This window comes from Homo sapiens, chromosome 15, assembly GCF_000001405.40.
Source record: "Homo sapiens chromosome 15, GRCh38.p14 Primary Assembly".
In the NCBI taxonomy this organism is placed as follows: domain Eukaryota; kingdom Metazoa; phylum Chordata; class Mammalia; order Primates; family Hominidae; genus Homo; species Homo sapiens.
Genome location: NC_000015.10, coordinates 70,563,630 through 70,587,870, shown reverse-complemented (window position 1 = coordinate 70,587,870; position 24,241 = coordinate 70,563,630). Strand labels below are relative to the sequence as shown.

The following is a 24,241-nucleotide window of genomic DNA, read 5'->3' as shown; positions in this document are numbered from 1 at the left end:
GATGCGTGCTCCTAGTTCTGTATGGAGTTTGGAGAGTGAACTGGAATGAGGAGTGCCAGACCCAAGCAGATCTTCTCCGTTTTTAAAGAGGAGGAAATAGCTCTGAGTGGGACAACTGAATTGTCCAACGTAGGTCACGCTGAGAGGTGACAGCGTGCTGGCAGTCCTCACAGCCCTCGCTCGCTCTCGGCGCCTCCTCTGCCTGGGCTCTCACTTTGGCGGCACTTGAGGAGCCCTTCAGCCCACCCCTGCACTATGGGAGCCCCTTTCTGGGCTGGCCAAGGCCAGAGCCGGCTCCCTCAGCTTGCGCGAGGGAGAGGCGCGAGCGGGAACCGGGGCTGCGTGCAGCACTTGCGGGCCAGCTGGAGTTCCGGGTGGGCGTGGGCTTGGAGGGCCCCGCACTCGGAGCAGCCGGACGGCCCTGCCGGCCCCGGGCACTGAGGGGCTTAGCACCCGGGCCAGCGGCTGCGGAGGGTGTACTGGGTCCCCCAGCAGTGCTGGCCCACCGGCGCGCTGCGCTTGATTTCTCGCCGGGCCTTAGCTGCCTTCCCACGGGGCAGGGCTCGAGACCTGCAGCCCGCCATGCCTGAGCCTCCCACCCCCTCCATGGGCTCCTGTGCGGCCCAAGCCTCCCCGACGAGCGCTGCCCCCTGCTCCAGTGCCCAGTCCCATCGACCGCCCAAGGGCTGAGGAGTGCGAGCGCATGGCGCAGGACTGGCAGGCAGCTCCACCTGCAGCCCTGGTGCGGGATCCACTGGGTGAAGCCAGCTGGATTCCTGAGTCTGGTGGGGACGTGGAGAGTCTTTATGTCTAGCTCAGGGATTGTAAATACACCAATTGGCACTCTGTATCTAGCTCAAGGTTTGTAAACACACCAATCAGCACCCTGTGTCTAGCTCAGGGTTTGTGAGTGCACCAATCCACACTCCCTATCTAGCTGCTCTGGTGGGGCCTTGGAGAACCTTTATGTCTAGCTCAGGGATTGTAAATACACCAATCGGCACTCTGTGTCTAGCTCAGGGTTTGTGAATGCACCAATCAACACTCTGTATCTAGCTATTCTGGTGGGGCCTTGGAGAACCTTTGTGTCCACGCTCTGTATCTAGCTAATCTAGCGGGGAGGTGGAGAACCTTTGTGTCTAGCTCAGGGATTGTAAACGCACCAATCAGCGCCCTGTCAAAACAGACCACTGGGCTCTACCAATCAGCAGGATGTGGGTGGGGCCAGATAAGAGAATAAAAGCAGGCTGCGCGAGCCAGCACTGGCAACCAGTTGGGGGTCCACTGCCGCAGTGTGGGAGGTTTGTTCTTTCGCTCTTTGCAATAAATCTTGTTACTGCTCACCCTGGGTCCACACTGCTTTTGTGAGTTGTAACACTCACTGGGAAGGTCTGCAGCTTCACTCCTCAAGCCCGGGAGACCGCGAGCCCACCGGGAGAAACGAACAACTCTAGACGCGCCGCCTTAAAAGCGGTAACATTCACTGCGAAGGTCTGCAGCTTTACTCCTGAGCCAGCGAGACCACGAGCCCACCAGAAGGAAGAAACCCCGAATACGTCTGAACGTCAGAAGGAACAAACTCCAGAAGCGCCACCTCAAGAGCTGTAACACTCACCGCGAGGGTCCGCGGCTTCAGTCTTGAAGTCAGTGAGACCAAGAACCCACCAATTCGGGACACAATACCTATAATCCCAGTACTTTAGGAGGCCAGGGCAGGCGGATCATCTGAGCTCAGGGGTTGGAGAGGAGCCTGAACAACATACCGAAACCCCGTCTCTACAAAAAATACAAAAATTAACCGGTTGTGGTGGCCGGTGCCGGTAGTTCCAGCTAGTGGGGGACTGCGGAGGTGGGAGCTGAAGCGGGAGGATCGCTTGAGCCTGGAGGTTGAGGCTGCAGTAAACAGGGATTGCGTCAGGACACTCCAACCTGGGGAACAGAACGATGCCCTAAAAGGCTGGCTGAGCTGACTGGAGTCCAATCTCCTGACTCTCAAGTAAGTGCTCCGCAACAACTACCCGTGGTTGTACAGGTCAGAGTTCAGGGGAGGCTGCGGGGAGAGAGACAGAGGAGGCTCTGGAGAGGGAGGGGTGAGGTCACCTGGGGTGACAGGGCACTGTGCAGAGACTGGGGGCGGGGAGGAGAGGAGCTGCCAAAGACGTTACCTCGACTGCTGTGGTTCTCAGAGAGCTCGGGAAGTTAGCTGTGGGCTGGGGTCGAGGGGGGGAGGGGGGAAGGGGATTTCCATCTGCGGATGGAGCGCGTTCACAGAGGGGACCAGCGCGTCCCAGCTACCCAGCTCCCAAGTTGTCCAGTCCCGCCTGGAACCCAGAACCCCTTGACGCTGAAACCCTGCGCTCCTGAGAACTGCTGCTGCCGGGGGAGGGGTCCTCACCCGCGGGGCTCGGCCTCTGGTGCCCGCCGCGGCAGCGACCCTGCTCGGGCTGGAAAGGGGTCCACGCTCGGTCCGCAGGGGGCGCTGCGCACCGGGGCAAAGGCGCGGCGCACCCGGGCAAAGGGGAGGGGCCCGCACAGGGTCGGCGGCGGCTCTCCCAGCCCGGCGGAGACCTGCCTGGCAATCGCTGCGCATCGGCGGTACCGGGAGGCAGGGGCCCGGGGATAAGAGAGCTTCAGACTTCAAAGGAAATGCTGGGGTCGCCCAGCGGCGGAACCCGGGCAGCCTGGGCAGGGACGGGCGCGGATTCGCCCGGGTCCCGCTGCTCTGTCTTTGCTGTTTCTTTGGTGGAGGCCTGACGCCCCTCCCCAGACCCCCGGGGTCTGTGACGGGGGCCGAGGGGCTCTGACCCGAGCAGCCCCCAAGTCCTCGCGGGTCAGGCCCACTGTTTACAGGGATTCTGCCCAGATGAGTCACATCAAAGGCCTAAGCCACAAGTGATTCCACTTAGAAAAGAATTGCCTACGGGTGTCTGACGGCGTTTTGCTGAAAAGGAATCCAGGTGGAATTTATTGATTTTACTTTGCGGGCGAGGGTCAAAAGGCTTGTGGCCCCTTGCTAGCTTGTGATTTGGGCTTATTTCTCCTCTCCTAAAGCCCAATTTCCCCATCTGTTAAGTGAAGAGGGACATGTCTTATAGGATCCAGCCTGGGCTGAGTCGTCTAAACTCAGGTGTGATCTGAAGGAGAACTCAATACAGAAGCCATAGCAATCAAAAGCCTCCCACACTTCCCCTCTGGCCCCCTAACTTGGAGAAGCAAGTGGAGTGTGTGCTTGTGGCTGGGGTGGGTGAGGAGGCAGGTAAGCCGTGGCCCAATGAAGACATTTATGGAGACTATTGACTCGCATCCACCCCCGTCTTGCCTTCTGCCAACATGGTAGAAGGATCTCTCTCTGCTTGAGTTCTGAAATCAGGTTTAGCCCCAGTGTTGAGTTGTAATTCCACCCCCAGGGAAGGCTAGGAGAACCTTCTTTTACCACTCAGCGTGTGGTATCGGTCAAGCCAAGCATGAACAAGCATGAAGCAACTGGTCTGTCCTCTCTCACCCACTGCAACTCTTCTCAACCTTCCATTTTATTAATAACTATTGCCCAGAATGGGCTCCTCCCTGTTGAGGCTGGAGGACTAACCCCCACTTTCCCTGCCTCTCGCCCTGAGGCCCCTCCCGACTCTACCATTATGTTGAGCTTTTTGAAGAAACTTCTATGTTTGGCCCTGAGTATCCTTACAGGGTAAGATATTGTGGATTTTCTAAACATTATATAAAGTGCCCATGATGGGGTAATGGCCAAATTCAACATAGTATAATATATGATCCCGTGCTATGGTTAGGAAGGACGACATAGAGCCCTATATACCCATGTGGGCAAATCTCCAGATATATTGTAGAATGAAAAATAGTAAATTTCAGAAGGACAGATTAATTCACAGCAACAATTAGCAAGCAAGCAAACTCCCTACAAGATGACACACTTTCTTTGGGTATGTATATACCCATTCATAAATAAATAGAAAAGGGCCAGGCGTGGTGGCTCAAGCCTGTAATCCCAGCACCTTCGGAGGCTGAGAAAGGCAGATCACCTGAGGTCAGGAGTTCAAGACCAGCCTGGCCAACCTGGTAAAACCCTGTCTGTACCAAAAATACAAAAATTAGCTGGGTGTGGTGGCAGGTACCTGTAATCCCAGTTACTCGGGAGGCTGAGGCAGGAGAAATCGCTTGAACCCAGGAGGCGGAGGTTGCATGCCATTGCACTCCAGCCTGAGAGACCAAAAAAAAAAAAAAAATGTTGGAAACATAGGAACCTCTGGGGAGAGGCGAAGAAGGGGCTAGATTTGGGGATGGGTGCTGAGGGACTTTAGCCTTATCTGTAATGTTTAAATGTTTTATGAGAATTTGTTACATCATTAAAAATTAGTATTTTTAAAAATTTGGCCTTTCTTGTAGTGGCCCCCAGACCTCCTGTTTTAAGCTCCAAGCTGAAGTTCTGCACTCTGGGGGATGTGCTTGTGCCCAGTCCATCCTGGAGACCCCAAACACCTGCAGAACACCTTATGTAATACCTTTAACTGCGTGAGCTCATCTGTCATTGGTCAGCCATAGGTGACTGCAGCAGGACTTTTGGGAGCCTTTGATCTGGTCCCTCTCAGCTCCTGCCTTTCCAGACTCTGATTTCTTGAGCCTCTCCACATGTGGCAGCCCCTGAAGCCGTGGCACGCTTTGTTGTTCTGCCCTGACATTCATCATTCATCCTCTCTCTGACAGTACAGATCATGACTGCCAAAGGGGAGACTGCCTATGTAGGGAGGAAGGCATCTTCTATTTTGTTTCTAATCAGTCTCCTGAAGCTGCCTAGCATTCAGTTCATCTTCTGAGGCCATAGATGCCCCCCCCCCGGGCTGGATGTTATGATAATTTGCTGGGAGGTCTTCTGAGGCTCTACATGGTCCTCCAAAGATCTGACTGTTACTCCTCACTTGTGTACTTGTTCTCCAGCTAGTGATTAGTCATTTACTATGTGCCTGAAACTGTGTCACTCACAAATCTGTTGCTCTATCCACCTCTTCTTGTTCCTGCTGTTACTCCTTGGGCCAGGCCACTATCCCTTCTCATTGGGAGACTACAGCAGTGGCCAACTTTGTCTCTCCAATGTTTCTTCCCTCTCCAGCCAGAGTGAATGTTGTAAATGAAATATGATCACACTCCTCCTTTGCCAAACTCTCCATGGCTTCCCATTGCTCTGGGGTCAAGTCCAAATGCCTTAATATGGCTCACAGGAGTGACTGGTGTGAGCCCTGCTCACATCATCAGCATCCATGCTCTAGTCACGCTGAACACTCTCAGCCCACCCCTGCCATGCTGTGATGCTCTGGTGTCTGAGCCTTAACACATGCTTTTCCCTCTGTCTGCAATACCCTCCTGACCACCTCACTTTTGGTGGGGAGAGGGGCTAACTCGTACTTAAGCTTCAGATCTGAACTTACTAGCATTTTTTCCTGGCAGAAACATCCCTGAACCTCATAGGTTACCCCCAAATGAGTTCTATGCATCTGTCTCCAAGGGTATTTATCACACTTGATGTAATTGCATGTTAAATTGGTCTGTCTCCCACGAGGCTGCAACATCTTGAATAACAACAATAACGTCAACCCCTACCACAGGGTGAGCTCTTTTTTACCTTACCATGTGCCAGGCACCATGCTAAGCAGATTTTATATCCTACGCTATCTATTCTCTCACCTTTCTTGGAGTCCAGAGTCAGAGTTCAGAGCCTTGCACCTCTACCCGCTGGGAAGGGTAGGGCCGTGTCTATTGGATTCACACTTATATCCCTAGCTCCTAGCGTAGTGCCTGCCACCTAGTAGGAACTCAATAACTATTTGTTGAATGAATAAATAAATCAAGAGGCGTTCAGCAATGGGCAGTGAGTGTGATGTGATACCCACTTGGATTAGTTTCCTGTAAATGCAGTAAGGGCTATGCAATATATCCGTGTGACAAAACTGCACTTGTACCCCCTAAACCTATAAAAATAAAAAATGCAGTGAGGGGAAGCAGAGCTATATTATTGATCCATGCCAGAAACCACTGGCATGTATAAGTGAGACAACCTGAAGACTATATCCAGGCAGCACCTCTGGGGCTGTCTGCTGGGCTCGCTGGGCTGCCTAGCTGATGGGATTTGATAAAAGGGGGATGGGCACAGTGAGAAGGTGCCGGATCTGGGGACGAGCTGGGAACCTCCAGGCCTAGCCCAGGAAAGAGCTGTTTTGGGAGTTTTAGGTTAGCAGAGATCTGGTTAGCCCTGAGTGTAAGGAGGTTGATATGGAAGAGACACAGTCCATAGACGTATTTATTTTATTCTGTCTGAAGTGGGATTTCTGATGATTTAAGTCAGTGCTTCTCAACCAGCATGATTTTAGCCCTTAGGAGACATTTGGCAACATCTGAAGACATTTGTGGGTGTCACAACTGGAGTTAGAGAAGTGTTCCTGGCACCTGGTCAGTAGAGTCCAAGGATGCTACTAAATGTGGCACAATGCACACAGCAGCCCCCATAGCAAAGGGATCTCCAGCCCAAGTATCATTGGTGCTGAGGTTGAGAATCCTGGGTTTGAAGGATGGAGCTAGTGAGCCTGGTGGGTGAGTGAGGTTTGTGGAAGTGTCTTCCCCGATGGCCTTTGACTCCTCTTCAGCAATGCAGCCTGTGACAGAGGAGGGACTGGGGGGTGACAGTTACCCCCTCCACTTCCCCTTCTTTCCCCGCTCCCCGAAAAACATGACCAGGGCTTTGGTTCCTCTCTGTGGTCTCCTTGTGCTCCTGTCCATTCCTCACACTTCTGTTATCGCTTCAGGATCAAAAGTTTGCAACATTTGGTGCCCATATTTGAGCAGCGTGGGGGTGAGTCTCAGGTGCGAGCATGCTGGCCTCACTTTCTCCAGGGGACTTTGATGTATGAGCGTGCTCATTGCTCAAAACTGGGGAGGGTCACTATCAGAAAGGGGAGGGCCCAGAACAGGGTAGGGGAGGCTGCCGGCAGGGGCCATCATTGGGATTTGCTCTGGCAAAGTGTGAAGCTTGCCTGTGCCACACCCCTGCTCCTGGTGGCCTGAGCCCCACTTCCTGTGCCTTGAGCACTTCCTGTGTTCCAGAGGCAGATATTGTCAGGGGCTGCTTTGGTCGTGGAGAGCCCTCAACCCTCAAGGAGGATGTAATCTCTTTGGAGAGAATAGAATTCTCTATCCCTCTTTTGTTATTTTGGGTCCTATGAGAAGCAGACTCGACCACAGAATTAGATGTGCCAAATGGGAAACGCCGGTGCAGGGTTCAAGGGCAAGGAGCAGGAGCTGGCCAGAGTCTGACACCTTCAAAAAGAGAGAAGGGAGGGCGCTTGCATAGGAAGGTTCACCGCAGTGCGGAGTGGTTCTAAAGACGTTTTAGCCGGGCTGTTTGCTTTCAGAGCAGCCACAGGAGCTGCATCCTGCACAAGGGGGCTAGGACCCACCGGCTCAGCCACTGGCTCCTCCCACCCCTTGACCCTTGGCATTGCTTGCACGGACTTTGCAGAAGGAGCCTCTGCAGGAGCCCTGGACAACTTCTTTTTCCTTTTCAGAAAGCTAGAAAATGACTGAAGCCCAAACTCCCGCCCTTGTGCTGTCCAGGACCCCCAAGCCCAGCTTCGCCTTGGCACCCCACCCTCATCCTCTCTTCCCCCAACCCCAGCCCTTCACCCTAATCAGGGGCACAGGATCTGCTGCCACTGAGCCCTGATGCCTCCTCCTCTTGCATTTGTCCCAGCCTGCCTCTTGTCCGGGGTGTCTTCTCTTTCCCTTTAGTCCAAATGAAATCTGTTTGTTTTCCTGCCCAAGCCCACTCCCACTTCTTCAGTGCGATTCAGCCCCCACCCATGTCCCCAGTCCTGGGATTTCTGCTTTAGACATGGCAGTGCCACAACTTAGCACCTCATTGTTCTCCAGCGGTTTCAGCTATTGTGATTCTGTTTCTTGAACTAGATTACAAATTCCTTGAGGGTCAGGACAATGAGGAATGGCTCTTTCCCCTCCATCCTTCTTTCCTTCTCTTCCTCCTTCCCTTCCTTCCAATTATCAAGTAGAAATTGATGTCCTCCAACTGGATTGGCCACCACCAAGGTCCTAGTGGGGTCCCCAGGTTGGCAGAGTTAATTGTTTGGTGTTTTTGATCTCCAATTGGCCTGAGCTTGTTCTTTTCCTTCTTTCCTGGATTCCTGTGACTTCCAGGGCCCCCTTTTCCGGCCTCCCAAATTAACTCTATTCTTAGTGCCTTGTTTCATATGGAGGAACCAGTGACTCAGAATAGCTCCATAGGTGACTTCTCCCCGGGGAAATTTTTGACCAAGCCCCAAAGAGTAGAAATGATCAAATTCTAATGAACTTGCCTTGCCTAAGGGCAGGGCCGGGTCTTTAAAGCTTCCCCCTTGAGTTGCAAGGAGACCGCTCTGAGCCATGCCCAGCCACTAGAGATGCCCGTGCAGTGAGCTCCGTCCTTGAGGTCACAGAATTAGATCAAATTCTAATGAATTTGATGTGTGAATTTTATACCTGAGCTAGATACTGTACTGTCCAATTTAGTAGCCACTCATCATGTGTGGCTTTTTACAGTTAAATAAAATAAATGTAGTCTTTCAGGACTACATTTACGGGAGCCACATTTTAAATGCTCAATAGCTGCCAGAAACGAATTTTTTAAAAAGCAGGTGTGGGCTGGGCCTGGTGGCTCATGCCTGCAATCCTAGCACTTTGGGAGGCTGAGGCGGTGGCTTGCCTAAGATCAGGAGTTCAAGACCAGCCTGGCCAACATGGTGAAACTCTGTCTCTACTAAAAAAAAAAAAAAAAAAAAAAAGAAAAAATGGGTGTGCCGGTGGATGCCTGTCATCCTAGCTACCTGGGAGGCTGAGGGACGAGAATCGCTTGAACTTGGGAGGCAGAGGTTGCAGCGAGCTGAGATAGCGCCACTGCACTCCAGCCTGGGCAACAGAGCAAGACTCTGTCTCAAGAAATAAAAAGGTGTGGAGCATATCAGGAACTTCTCAGTCCTAGATCACTCCAGCTAAGGGGTTTCTTGCCTTGCCTAAGGGCAGGGCCGTGTCTTTAAGGCCACCCCCTTGAGTTGCAAGGAGACCCCTCTGAGCCATGTCTAGTCACTAGAGATGCCCATGCAGTGAGCTTGGGCCTTGAGGTCACAGACGCAGTGGTTAATAAGGCTCCTGGTAATCTCCCAGCCCTGAGATCCTGCCTTCTAGTTCTGAGAGCAGCCGGGGGCCAGATACACCTACTCCACAAGGACGGAACCACGTAGAGCTTCCCCCGATAGCCTCTAGAATGGAAGGCCTATTCTGCAGTGGCCTGGGTGCCAACTTCCTAATGGCCTGAGTACCAGAGTGGTAACCAGCATCCGGTGGCAGTTACTGTCAACTGTTCAGCAGAAAGCTGAAGAGCCAGTGGGGCAGCAGAGAGTGTGGGAAGGAGAGGAGGAGGGAGAGAGTGCCAGGGAGCAGGGCAGGATGTCTTTCGGGGGCTGAGACCCAGGGCAGAAGGCTCGGCAGGACCATGGAGGCGCCACGTGCTGACCTTCCCACGAAGAGAAATATCTCAGTTACTCCTATAGTGGAGTGTCTGGGGGATGAGGCTCTTTCTTCAGAGGGGGTCCTGGCAAACCTGGGTGTGCTCACGGTTAGACACCAGGATGCCCAGGGCACTTGATGGGAGGGGTAATGAAGCCTGGAATGTTCAGCCTGCGATGAGATGGCTCAGAGGCTATGGGTGGAGGACGGGGCAGAGCTTTTCAAAATTTGAAGGGTGGTCATTTAAAGCAAGGGCAGGCAAGCTTTTTCTATAAAGGGGCAGACATTTTAGACTTTGTGGGCCTCATGGTTTCTGTCACGACCACTCAACTGAGTTGCGGCATGGAAGCAGCCACAGACAATGTGGGAGCCAATGGGTTAGACGTGTGCCAATAAAACACCGTTTACAGAGATAGGTGGCAGGCCTGCTCAGCCCTACTCTGAGCTAGACCCTTGCTCCTCACAATGTGGTCCTCGGACCAACAGCATCAGCATCACTTGGGGGCATGTGAGAAATGCAAAATCTCAGGCCCAGCCGGGTGTGGTGGCTCACACCTGTAGTCCCAGCACTTTGGGATGCTGAGGCGGGCGGATCATCTGAGGTCAGGAGTTTGAAACTAGCCTGGCCAACATGGTGAAACCCCATCTCTACTTAAAAAAAAAAAAAACCCAGCATGGTGGTGGGCGCCTGTAGTCCCAGCTACTTGGGAAGCTGAGGCAGGAGAATCGCTTGAACCCTGGAGGCAGAGGTTGCAGTGAGCTGAGATTGTGCCACTGCACTCCAGCCCAGGTGACAGAGTGAGACTCTATCTCAAAAAAAAAAAAGAGAAAAGAAACTTCGTCTCAACATAGAGATGAATTTTCCACTTTAAATCCTCAGTCTTGCAAAAGGAGGCTGCCTCTATGGGTAGTGAGCACCCGTTACTGTGATGTGCAAGCAAAGGCTACACACTCAGTTGTTCAGCACATTAGGGAGGACCTGGACAGGATGAATAGCATCGTGGCTAAGGGCTCTCCCTGGGAGGCAAGCTGCCTGAGTTTGAATCCTGATTGGGCAAGAGGATATGTCACTGATCTCTATTGCAGATTCCTTATCTGTCCAATGGGGTAATCAAAGACCTCATAGGGTTGTCCTGAGAATTAATTTGCTCAAAATACTAGAAGAGCACTTACCACACAGTAAGTGCCCAATGTTAGCTGTTACAATCGATTATATAATTCTATAATAGATATCCATATTTTTGGTTGGATCAGGGACCAGTCTTTGTGTCTAAGGTCCCTTCCTTCCAACTCTGAGACTCGAGGAGGGAGAGGATTTGCGGAATCACAATCACAGCCAGTGTGTTTTCAGTATTTAGTAGGAGCCAGGCATTATGCAAGCATCCATTAATGGCTCTCAAATTACTTTCACATACTCGTTGGTGTTTAAGAGCAGAGAGATTATAATCTGTTGCCGCCCAAACACTCTGCATGTTTCAGCTTTAGAAAGTCAAATTGAGCCCAAGAATGATGTGCATAGTTTTGTCACCCACAGATTTATGTCTGGTTGAGGGCCCAGAACTCCCTAGAGCTGGTCAGAGAGTTGCCTTTTCTGGCCACATCACTAGCTCAAATCTCATGATGGCAGTGGCTGGAACCCTTTATTGCAGAAAAATAAGATGCCTGCTGACTCCTAATCACATTCATGTGGGGGTACCTCAAGACTTAATGCCCCTTTTGTCCCTGTTGCTTTGTGTTTATAAGCCCTAGCTATAGGTTTGGTGGAAAGAGGATTTGATTTTTGTTACCGACCTTGGTTTGGATTCGTGCTCCATCACTTCCCAACTGTGTGACCCAGGGAAAAGCTCTTGCCTTCTCTGAACCTGGGCTTCTTTCCTCATCAAATGGAATGATAGTACTATGTGCCTCATGGGGTCATGGTGAGAATTAAGTGGGAATGTATGTAAGAGTGCTTCGTAGACTGCCAAGAGCTTTACAAGTATTGGTTGTCATTTTGATGAAACATATAAGCCTCTTGAGGGTGTTTCCTTCACCCACAGTGCTTGGCACATAACAAGGGGTCACTATATACTTACCAAATGTGAGAGGCACGGATGTCTCCCTGTTGCAGCCTGTGAAGAATCTGTTTTGTATGGCACTGTGGTAAATGCCCCGAGACCTGCCCAGCCCACCCAACTCTTTCCTGCTTCCCCATTCTTTCATCTCTAGCATTCATTATGGGGTGCAGAAATCCCTATCAGCTGGTGATGAGTCTACTCACCTTTCTTCCTGGTAACAGCCACGGCTCGGGGTCTGTGAAAACCGCCACAGAGTTCTTATCTTCCCAAAGAAAGCTTTCAGAAAACAACATCCTGAATGTTTTATGGCTTATGTGTGTGTTTTAGTTTCAAAAAAGCGGTGGGTGGACAGGAAAGTAAAGACTGTTCTTTGTACCCAAGGACAGTATCTTGCAAAGTCTGGGGAGTCTTTTCTTACGAGGTAAAAGTTCTCTCCTCCTCCCCCCATCATATAAACTTTTGGTCTGCTCTGGTTAATTAATTTCAAGTGATGATAGTCTCAGATGAAGCTGTAAATTAGTTTCAAATGGCACAGCCGGGCCACCCACTACTGGAAGATCATATTGCAGTGACAACATTAAAACTTGAACAACCCTCAACAAGCAGGGAGGAGGGGGAATCCTGAAACCTCAAGTAAAAACACATTTCCAGCTCTATTCCTTGCTACAGCCCTTGAGAAAGTGGAAACAGATGGATGGTGGCTTTGATAATGAGAGAGGCAATCAACTTTAGATTAAAAAAAAAAAAAAAAGCTAAACCCTACCAAAAAGGGGTGGGTCTGACAGTAAAATCCCAGACACATAACGTTCCATTTAAGAGGCTATTGACATATTAGCCAGGAACAGAGGGGGTTCTGAGAGAGGTCAACCTTCTCTCCTGGAGCACGGTCCATTGTTCCCTCGCCTCCAGTACCAGAGCGCTCCGGCCCCTAACTGAAACCACGGTGGAGTCTTTGGACGTTAGTGATGGTCAGATTTCCCCTTGGAAATCACTAAGTGTTCCCGGGAGAATTGCCTGCTGCCTGCTGCCAGATCTTAGAGTGGAGAAAGACATTTCTGTTTTTAATTTAACTTAATTATTTTGGGGATTGGGGTGTGTGTATGATTTTTGGTGGTTTGGTGTGGGGGGACAAGATGCCAGGAACAAAGAGCTAGAGTTTGATGTCCAGCGAAAAGACGACTAACGTTGAAATCACAAGACCTGGGTTTGTGCCTCAATTTGGCAACCTACCAGCTGGTTAACTTTACAAATCCTGAGATTTCTTGTGCCTCCATTTACTTGTCTGTAAAATGGGGTTGCAAAAGCACACCTTAGGGTTGCCATGGGGCTCAACTGAGACCATGGATGTGAATACACTTGGTAAATTCTAACGGCCCATCCGTGAAAGTTTCTCAGTGGCCAAATTGGACAGAGTGTTGGAGGAAGGTGTTAGAATAGGAATTAGGGATCTTGGGCTTTTTTCCCCCAGCTCTGCCACTTTCCAACCCTGGGCTTTTTTCCTCTTCAGGTTTACCCTTAGCTCTCTGCCTGTCTGATCAGGGCTGTCACTCCTGTCCTGTCCCCCAGCCAAGAGCTGATGAATGGTGATATGGTTTGGTTGTGTCTCCACCCAAATCTCATCTTGAATTCCCATGTGTTGTGGGAGGTGATTGAATCATGGGGGCGGGTCTTTCCCGTGCTGCTCTCATGATAGTGAATAAATCTCACAAGATCTACTGGTTTTAAAAACGGGAGTTTCCCTGCACAAGCTCTCTTTTTGCATGCTGCCATCCATGTAAGACATGACTTGCTCCTCCTTGCCTTCTGCCATGATAGTGAGGCCTCCCCAGCCATGTGGAATTGTAAGTCCATTAAACCCCTTTTCCTGTATAAATTACCCAGTCTTGGGTATGTCTTTATCAGCAGCATGAAAATGGACTAATACAAATGGTGTGCACCTGTGGACTGGCAGCCCTACTGGGCAGCGCAGCACCCTTTATCCACACCTGGCACAGGCCGGGCACTCAGTAAGTCATTGTCAAATGAGCAGATGAACCTGTGAAGGGGCTTGGGAAAGGAAGAGGGTAATATTGCTGGAAAATGGTGTGATCAAATTGATTTCTCAGTAATCTCAGCAATTCCTCAGGGGACTTTGTCAGAAGATCAGGCCATGTGAGTATCTGTTGTTCAGCAGGTTGTTTGAGGCCCTGGAGAGAGGAGAGACTCAAATGGAACAAAATCCTGTTTTGGTCCTGAGAACATTTGCACGTTTGCCAGTTCAATCATTTTGGAAAATAGAGATTTGGTTCTGATTCAAGCTTCCACTCAGGCTTTTTTCAAAGGCTGCTTTTGATAATATTTATCAGCATCATGGGGACAGGGGCTGGGCTTGTCTTATTTACTGAGTATTCTAAGCATCTAGCAGGTGCCTGACACACAGGAGATGCACAGTAAATAACTAGTGGTAAATGCAGGGAACTCTTTCCCTTTTCTCTCCCCCTTACCAAGCCAAGCTGAACCATGAGACTCGACAGCTCCTGCACAAAGGCAGGCTTCAGAGCTGTGGCCTTCTTAGAAAATTTCTCGATATAGTTGGTGGAGGCATTGTGGCAGAATTCCCCATTGGGGGCCGGTGATCACAGAGTGCATGGGGCAGGGCACTGTTGTGATTCACATTCTCCCAATCTGTAGCCCAGATCTCTGGAGATGGCTTCTAGGGTTGACGGATTACTATTCTGGGGCAGTGCTCCCTGCTGTGGGTAGTGCTTGGTTTTAGGATACACCCTAAATTAGATGTTTCAAGTTCAATTCCTGCTCAATCCACTGACTTCTCCTTGCTCTGCAGTCCTCCACCATGCCGGAATCCACTTGCATTTCTGGCAAGAAGGTTGTTTACGCTCAAGGTCTACAGGGATGGAAGTGGCACCCAGTGAGAGGGCTCTGCCGATGGAGCTGTGAAGGCGTCGACCTCATTCTGACGGGCTTGTTGAGACTGGTCAGCGCCTGGGCAAGAGGGCAGCTGGGATATGTCTATGCCATGTTTGACCCATGCTATTGTTTTTTCCTCCCTTTTTACTTTCTATCTGTACTCCTCTCCTTCTCTTCCACTCCATTCCCCTGCCCACCTCCACACTGAAAATCGAGGCCTTGGGAGGAGAGGTCAAGGGAGGAAAGAATTCTGGAAAGAATTCTTCCACACTTTATAACAAGGAGCCCAGGCACTAGTATTTTCCTCTTGCCATCGGCGGCCAGCCATAAAAAGGGTTGATCCATGAGTTGTTTCTCCAACTCTTCGAGCAGCTCAGTTCATGGCACTGCTATAGTTTAGACTAACCCGCTCAACATTGTTAGAAACATTTAGAAATGTCTCCCCCTTTGCCGCAATTTCCCTCTCTCTGCCGGTGTCTGCTCTAACAGCTGGAAGAAATTTCTCCTTCATCTGCTATATTCAGCCTTTCACTAAGCGCCATCAATTTTGCCTTTGAAATTTCTTTTGTACTGGTCTCCTTCTCTCCTTTCCACCGCTAATCCCGGGGCCTGTCTCTAGCCCTGTGATTCTGAACTGTTTAAGAACCTCCTGACAGAGCTCCCTGCCTCTGGCTTCTCCACCTTTGATCCATTCTGCACAGCCAAGACAGATTCATTTTTCTCAAGCTCTGTTTGCATCTTAGGAGGCCTCAGCTCAAAACCCCTAGGCTCTCTAATGTCCTTGGCATTGCCCAGACAGCTTTCACAGCTCCCTCTCACTCTACCTTCTTCCCAGATCGTGGCTGCTTTTGCCTCCTGTACTGTTGTAACAAATCACCACGAACTTGGTGGCTTAAAACAACGGAAACTTATTCTCTTACAGTTCTGTGGCCAAAAATCCACACTGAGTCTTATAGGCCTAGATCAAGGTGGCAGCAGGGCTGTGATTCCTTGGGAGGCTCCCAGGGAGAATTCTCTTTCCTGGCCTCTTCCAGCTTCTCAGGGCTGCAGGCATTTCTTGGCTTGTGGCCACATCACTCCAGTCTCTGCCTCAGTGGTCATATTGCCTTTTCTTCTCCCTGTAGTGAAATCTTCCCCTGCTTCCCTCTTATAAGATACTTATAATTACATTAGGAGCCCATCTGGATAATCCAGGGTAATCTCCCCATCTCAGAAGCCTTAACTTAATCACATCTGAAAAATCCCTTTTCCCATGTAAAGTAGTAGTTATAGGCTCCATGAAAGGGATGGGGACATGGATCTTTGGGGGGACCGTTATTCAGCCTCTCATCATGGCCAGCTTAATCCTTCCACTTCCCTACTCGCTACTACAACAAGTATCAGTTGAGTATCTACTATGTGCTAGGCACTGTTTTAGGCAATAGGAATCATAATGACTAATGAGCCTTTTCGGATTCAGTCTCCTGCAGGGTGAACTATCCCTTTCCTGAGCTCTTTACCTCTTAGAGCTTGGTATCATTACATAGCATGATCATCACATACTATGTATGTCTGTGTGTTTGACATGTGGTTCATAGCTGGTGAACGGTGCTCTTCGTTTCTATAGGCAGGTAGGATGGACGTGCTTCGTAGGGCCTTTCTCCGCAAGCCCTGACATACACAGCACAGAGATGGGACAGCCCCCTACTACATCCTGCCAGATGTTGCTGGCTTATTTTAAAATTAGAAACGCCTATACAGTACCATAAACCAGTGATGCCAACTGGTTTATACTCCATAAGTTTGTACTCTTGGAAGTGCTAGGGTTGGTTGCAGCCTAATATTTAGGAAGAGTTTTGAAAGGCACTGTGACTTGTAGCTTCACACCTGTCTTCTTAAAAGCCTGGCCCTTTCCCGATTTCAGGTTGACATGTGCCTCCTGCAGGCACTGACACTGAGGCCTTACCGGTGACTGTTTCCTTATTGGTAAGTGTGTTGCTTTCCTAGGTGGAAACTCTCTGAGGAAAAAGATCACGTTACACGCACACAAGCACACACATACACATCTTTGTAACTCTCTGGCCCCCCATTGGATCTAGCAAAGATAACTTGGATGCTAGATATTTGCATACCAGCCAGTGTTGTCCAGCACTTTCGTTCAACTCTTTGACAACTATCGTCACATTCCTATACTGCTTGTGCTATCATTTGATTAATGTTTGTATTTAATTTGTCTCAACTTTTAGCTTGTGTAAACTTATTTTAAAAGGAAGCATTTGCATCTCTACCATAAATAGAAGACCAGAGTCATTTATCATAAATAAAGCATAACTGTAAAAATAAAGATACTGAAAATGAAATAATGTTATTCCCCTAAGAATTAAACAATAAAATATTGAGTAATAAAATTGAGTTGATTCACAAAATTGAATTCATTCACAAAATGAGATCCTCAGTGAGAAAAATGAGCAGCCAGTAATAAAAAATATTAAGCTTGATGTCACTTGATTGGAGATGATAATGGGTTTCTATGTCAATTAAATTATAATGTTTGTTAGTTTTGATGGTAGCCAGCCCTGAGAATTCCATAGTTAGGAAGGGCACCTCACCATTACCCAGATGGTAAATTTTAAAAAGTTAAAATGCCGGCCGGGTGCGGTGGCTCACACCTGTAATCCCAGTACTTTGGGAGGCCAAGGTGGGCAGATCACAAGGTCAAGAGATTGAGACCATCCTGGCCAACATGGTGAAACACTGTCTCTACTAAAAATACAAAAATTAGCTGGGCATGGTGGCACACACTTGTAGTCCCAGCTACTCGGGAGGCTGAGGCAGGAGAATCACTTGAACCTGGGAGGTGGAGGTTGCAGTGAGCCAAGATTGTGCCACTGAACTCCAGCCTGGCCACAGAGCAAAACTCTGTCTCAAAAAAAAAAAAAAAAAGTTAAAATGCTTTAGTGCATATTTTTGGTACATTTGAAAGAACATATGTATTCATCACTTATGTAAAATTATGAACTATAATTATTTTATTTTATGTTTTTTGAGGTGGAGTCTCCCTCTATTGCTCAGGCTGTAGTGCGATGGTGCGAACTTGGCTCACTGCAGCCTCCACCTCCTGGGTTCAAAGATTCTCTTTCCTCAGCTTCCAGAGTAGCTGGGACTACAGGCACGTCCCACCATGTCTGACTAATTTTTGTACTTTTAGTGGAGATGGGGTTTCACCATGTTGCTCAGGCTCATCTTGAACTCCTGACCTCAGGTGATCCACCTACCTTGGCCTCCCAAAGTGCTGGGATTATAGGTGTGAGTCACCATGCCCGGCCTGAACTATAATTATAAAGTCAACTTGTGAACTCACTGCCCACCTTAAGAACATTACTAATAACTGTGTGCTCCTCTCTGATCTCAGCCCATGGCTCCCTCCCTTCCTCAGATAAGAGTTACTCTGAATTCCCTTGCATTTAAAAATAACCACCTATGACGTTCTTAAACAGCATATTGTTTAGGTTTGCTTAATAAAAATGCTGTCATACTGTTAGTATCCTCTAGGAGACTAGATAAATAAATTACGGTCTACGTTGTACACAGCAGATGTTATTCCAGGTGAAAATGAACACATCAGACTGCACGTGACAGCTTGGATGGATCTGTGTGAGGCCAGAAGCTGGTCTCCAATGCTCATTCTGCTCAGGCCAACGGCTTTCACCTCTGCCTCAGGAAATGGAATTTAAAAGGTGGATGAAATTAAAAGGGCTCTCCTTCCTCCACCTTTAACCCCAGTTACTTCTTGTTCAGAGAGTCACCATAGCTGCCTGAGACTGATCTCCTTGGAAAGGCCTGCTTTGAAAGGTTGGCCCTTGGCTGGCATCTGGGAACTTGGATTTCAGGAGGGTTTCCACCATTCCCTAATAAGAATGGCTCACTGTGCCTAAGCTGTCCCAACAATATGCTTTATGTGGAACAGCGCTGTCCTTCTGAGAGTCTGGAATTGCGGTATGTGCTGGACATAGGGGTGCCTATGTAACCAGCTCCCCCTCTAGTGGCAACAGAAACCCTGGGCACAGAGTCTTTAATGAGCTTCCTTGGTAGACATTTGACATGTGTTCTCACTACTCCTTGCTAGAAGAATTAAGCTTGTCTTGTGCAACTCCCTGGGAGAGGATTCTTGGAAACTTATTCCTGGTTTCCTCTAGACTTTGCCCCAAGGGCCTTTCTCTTTGGGGATTTGGCGCTGTATCTTTTTGGTATAATAAATCATAGCCATGAGTGTGACTCTTTGCTGAGTCTCCTGAGTCCTCCAAAGAAATGTCAAACCTAGGTGTGGTCTTGGGGACCCCAACCCTCCTCTGAACCCTCTGTTTTTCCACACCACTGGGAGCCACTGAATAGAGGAGCTTGTGCTTTGCACTTTATACTTTAGAGGCCCCTGCATATCACACACACACACACACACACACACACACACACACACACACACACACACACACACACACTAAAGAACGCATGGCTGCCTCGACACTTAGAATCTGAAGCTCAATGCTAGCCCAGCACAACCTGCAACTCTAAGGACCAGCTCTCATGACTATGACCATTCAGACCCCAGGGAAACCCTTCCGCACATTTCTTGCCTTGGGTCCTGGAAAACTGCATCAAACACCATGAAGGCTGTGTGTTGTTCACTCCAACAGCCTCAGAGACACTGCTTCGGAGAACAGGGAGAATTTGAGCAGAAGTGCTTGGGTAAGAGAAAAGGCAAATTAATGAGTTTGTCAAATCCTTCCTCTCAGCTTGAATGCAATAGATTCTTGTATAACAAATTATTGTTTCCCAGTAGTGCCAAACATTCATTTTCTTGCTTCTCTGCATGTTCTAATTCCTGGTTCTGGAGATAAGAATGAACACAGAATTCACAACACTTGCATATGGATGCTGAGGCATATTTTGCAATAATCAATGATTCGTATTACTCTTAAATTACTATGTATGCAGCTCAAGACGTGACGTGTAAAGTGTAACATTGGCAAACATATATTGAATACTAGAATTGTAAATTTTTATTTGTATAAAAATATTTAATATCTAATTTTAAATGTTTGTTTCAGCTTTAAGTACCTTTGGTTAAAAATATTCATATCCATTAATTATGATTTATATTTTGCTTTTTATAGCAATTTAGAATATTTTAGAAGAAAAATAACTTGCTGAAATCATATTTGAAAAATATTCAATTTGTACATAACTTTAAGATATTTAAAAAATAAAAGTATAATCACAGTTTATTCTCTTTGAATACAGTTATACTTTATTTTTAAATCTTTGACAATTATTATCAATGGAACAAAGTTTTGTAAGGATTAATGTACTTGAAGACTTTGCTAAAATGAAGGCAAAAAGTGTATATTAATATGAAATAATATATGGATTATGTCTCTATTTTATTACTCATCCAAATATCAACAGCCCATCCATCAATGGGCTGCACAGACATGTACAATAATTGAATCCATCTTTGATATTGCTAAGACTTTCAGTCGTATCTAAAAACCACAACTTTATTCATCCTTTAAAATTGTTATGAAGGTATTTGTGGGTCAAGGTAGCAGCAGAACATCATGTGTTATGAGATGGCAGCCTGAGTGGTAACTCACACATGTAGACACATGGTATGTGGTCCCCATTTGTCAATTTCCCTGGCCCCTGCCAATGTTTGGGCTGTTTGGGCAGGCCTGCGTACTCTCTTCATTTTTTTTTTTTTTTTTAGATGGAGTCTCTTCTCTATAGCCCAGGCTAGAGTGCAATGGCGCGATCTCGGCTCACTGCAACCTCCACCTCCAGGGTTCAAGCGATTCTCCTGCCTCAGCCTCCCAGGTAGCTGGGATTACAGGCGTATGACCCCATGTCCGGCTAATTTTTTGTATCTTTAGTAGAGACAGGGTTTCACTTTGTTGGCCAGGCTGGTCTCGAACTCCTGACCTCATGATCTGCCCACCTTGGCCTCCCAAAGCGTTGGGATTATAGGCATGAGCCACCGTGCCCGGCCCTCTCATCTTTACGCATAGCCAGAGAAGGATGTGGTTCTTGGCATGGCAGAAGGCCTTGGAGCAGGATGCCGGGCAACTGTGCAGACCAGGCCACGGCTGCCTTGTATACGTGTCACTGGAGCGAAGGCCACGCCGAGGCCAAGGAAGGGAGAAGTCCTGGGAGTCACCCCAAGGTCTTTGTGAGAGGCCCAGGGAAGCTTCCTCATGCACATTCTAAGGTCCCCCAGCAGCACAGGGCCCTGCCCACCACACTCACAAACATGGATCCTGTGGAACACGCTGCAGTGTGAGGCTTGGGTGAGAGGATTGCAATTTTAGCTCTGCCACTTTCTTCCAAAGTCACTCTGAACGAATCCACTTGACCTCTCGGATCTTGTTTCTACATATGTCAAATGGGAATCCTAATTCTCATTTTCCAGGGCTGTTGTGCAAACTGGGGATATGTATTTAAAGTATATCACATGGCCCCTGGGATGTGGCTTAATACCTGCTAACCAATAATCTAGCACAGGGAAACTGAGAAAATATGTTAAATGAGAAGCTATGGTCATCCTGGCAGTTAGTAGCAGAAAGAGCCCAGGCATTTGGAGGCCCAGTCTGATGTTCTTTACCTTTCCAAGCCCTGGAAACCCACATGTGCTCTGCCACCCATTTGCTCTCCCACCCAGCCCCGGGTTCGAGGTGGTGGCTGTCCTCTGAGCTGCGAGGTGTCCAGGTCCGAGCACCAGCTCACTTTCCTCAGGATCTAGCTCTGAGGATTTACAGCCAGGCTGGGCGCCCACTGGAGGTCCCCTTACCTGTAAGTTATTCCACCGGTAATTAGATTTCTTTCTGTTGTGGGAAGCCAGCATGTGTAAATCCACAGAAACCTGTGACCAGATGATATAAGGGTCACCTGAGCCTCCGTGCTGCCTAAAATGCATCTTCCAGGAAAATGATTTCTCTGGGCACATAAGTTACTGCGTTCCCAGGACAACTGTAGCTCAGGCTCTGACCATTCCCGTAATGCTGTGTTCAAGTGATGTAGTGTTCACAGCTCTCTCGGCAGCCCTCTTGCTCCCCTGCTGTCTGAGTGGAGGAGCCTCCAACACTGGCTGTCGCTGGATACAATAAATGGAAAGGGAGGAAGGACGGGGGAGGGAACTGCTTCCTCGGCAGCCCACCTTCCTGCCCAGGCTAGACCGACTCAAGTTCAGAGAGCCTTAGTCCTATAGGGGAGCCACTTGGAGTCTAGAGACACTTTGAGCTATGGCAGAAATCACTATCTACATGCAAAAGGATAAAATCGGGCATCTACCTTGTAATGTGCACAATAGGAAGTCCCAGATAAATTAAAGAACTGCACATTAAAATTATTAACAAACTGTATATGTGTGTGTGTGTGTGTGTGTGTTTTGGGAGGGTAGTGGTGGGGAAAAGGACTTTCTTTTTTTTTTTTTTGAGACGGAGTTTTGCTCTTGTTGCCCAGGCTGGAGTGCAATGGTGTGATCTCAGCTCACTGCAACCTCTGCTTCTCAGGTTCAAGCAATTCTCCTGCTCAGCCTCCTGAGTAGCTGGGATTACAGGCGCCTGCCACCACGCCCTGCTAATTTTTGGTATTTATAGTAGAGACGGAGTTTCACCATGTTGGCCAGGCTGGTCTCGAACTCCTGACCTCAGGTGATCCACCCGCCTCGGCCTCCCGAAGTGCTGGGATTACAGGTGTGAGCCACTGCGCCCGACCAGGCCTTTCTTAATCTAACACCAAACCCAGAAACCACAATAGAAAAGTTTGGCAGATTGGACCACCTAAAAAGAAAAAAACCCAAACTGTATTGTCAAAGGTACCTTAAATAAATCAAAACATAAATTACAGTCTGGGAGAAAGTATTTGCTACATATTCTAGCAGGAAAACTGTGAATGTCCACACTATAGAATGTATTCCTTCAAATTGATCAGAAACAGCAAAAATGGACAAGTGGGCAACACACACACATACACACACACACACACACGTTATATACAACCACTTCATTAAAGAGGAAACAATTACAAGATAGCCTCACTAATGCCTAAAGAAATGTAAATGAAAACAGCAATGCAGCATTAGTTTTTGCTTGTCCAGTTAAAAAGAACTGGTGAGAATGAAGAAATGAACACAACACACACACACTGCTGGTAAAGTGCCACACACCTTCGAAGGGAAATTTAGTAAAAGACGTATCAACCTAAAATGTGCTTACTGAATAATCTGGCGGTCTCTCCTCCAGAAATTTACCCTCCAAAAATTGTAGCATAAATGTATAAAGATATATGTCCAAGGATATTCACTGTATTACTGCTTATTTTAAGAGCCAAGTTTCTAAAAGTTTAAATTTCCATCAAAGAACATGGGTCAGATAAATTAAGGAATATCTAGGCAATGAAATTCTAGTCTCTGAAAGAAATGAGGTAGACTTGTGTAGTAAGAGCTGTTTTCCGAGCATTTGTCTTGTGCTGGGCACTGATGTGAGTGTTTTATATATGTCACCTCATTTAACCCTCTCAACAACTTTATGAAGTAGGCAATGTTGTCATCCACATGATGCACAAGAGGCCCAGAAAGGTTATTAGCCTGCACGAGGTCACACAGCTGTGAGAAGTCAGAGCTGGCATTAGAATGAGGCAGTGGGTTTCCTGAGGCACCCACTTGGAAAGGGTCACAGATAAAGTTTAAATGTTAAGTGATAAAACAGCAAATTGCAGCAAGATGTAGCATAACTGCATTTTGGTTAAAATATATGTGAATGTATATAACCTATATTATTTATATATATGTCTACATTATCAAAAAAATAAAAAGATTAATTTGGTGGTGATGACTGGAGGGGAAGTGGGAATAGATTAGTTTCTTCCAAAAAAGTAGTGAGATTTAAAAAAGAAAACGGCCTTCTCAGTCCTTTGTTTTTATTTATTTTTCATTATCGATTGACTTGAATAAAATAGAAAATGACCCCATCTGGTGATAAGAATACATCCTTGAAAAATAACACCCAGTTTATGCCAGAAACAAAAATCTCAGTTTGGAAGCAGAGCTGAGTTACTATATAGTGGTAGATAAATCACCAAGGCTGCAGTGAGCTATGATCATGCCACTGTACCCTAGCCTGGTCAACAGAGTGAGACCCTGACTCAAACAACAAGAACAACAACAAAATGCGTGATTGAAAAAGTGGCCTATTGCCTCTGTAGACAATGTGGAAGGGGCTGATGGGGTGGACTGGCCATCTTGTCGATTCTAGGAAGCTTCTGCCTCCCATGCCATCCATGCTGCATTTGCTTCTCTCCTGGTTTTCTTCCCAGTATCCTGTTTCCATGACATCCTGCTCCAATCCTCCAAACCCAGAGAGCAACCCTGGTCAGGGATGGGGAGTCACCATACAATTGAAGTGCCCTGACTTGATTAGGGGATGACATAGGAGGCAAGTCCAGGGTGGAGATCCTGGTCCATTTGCTGGTGGCCACGAGATCTATAGCCGCTTGACACACAGGGATGCTCCGGGCATGGCAGGCACCTGGGGCTCTGTGGACTGTCTGGCGCATGCTGCTGGAAGCTCAGAGTAGTTCAGCACAACCTGGCCACAGAGGTAAGTGCTGAAGCTGGAAGGCAGTGGCCACGCCACAGTGGGCCATGAGAGCCATGTAAAGCAGCTTGGACAGGCCTAGGCCAGTGGTTC

The 24,241-nt window shown here is 48.2% G+C and overlaps 1 long non-coding RNA gene across 1 annotated transcript, besides 2 other annotated features; it reads left to right on the top strand.

Moving 5' to 3' along the window:
• LINC02204 (long intergenic non-protein coding RNA 2204) lies at nt 1,265-16,913 on the top strand. The gene is made up of 2 exons (NR_135691.1): nt 1,265-1,996; nt 14,440-16,913. It is a non-coding gene; the product is annotated as a long intergenic non-protein coding RNA 2204 (long non-coding RNA).
• Nucleotides 1,347-2,291: an enhancer, noted in NCBI's record as "H3K4me1 hESC enhancer chr15:70877919-70878863 (GRCh37/hg19 assembly coordinates)". NCBI's record gives its function as "activates a minimal SCP1, AML or CMV promoter by ChIP-STARR-seq in naive H9 embryonic stem cells {active_cell/tissue: H9 hESC(naive)}" and the evidence as "EXISTENCE:reporter gene assay evidence [ECO:0000049][PMID:30033119]".
• Nucleotides 7,634-8,437: an enhancer, noted in NCBI's record as "NANOG-H3K27ac-H3K4me1 hESC enhancer chr15:70871773-70872576 (GRCh37/hg19 assembly coordinates)". NCBI's record gives its function as "activates a minimal SCP1, AML or CMV promoter by ChIP-STARR-seq in naive H9 embryonic stem cells {active_cell/tissue: H9 hESC(naive)}" and the evidence as "EXISTENCE:reporter gene assay evidence [ECO:0000049][PMID:30033119]".
• Nucleotides 16,914-24,241: the final 7,328 nt, after the last annotated feature.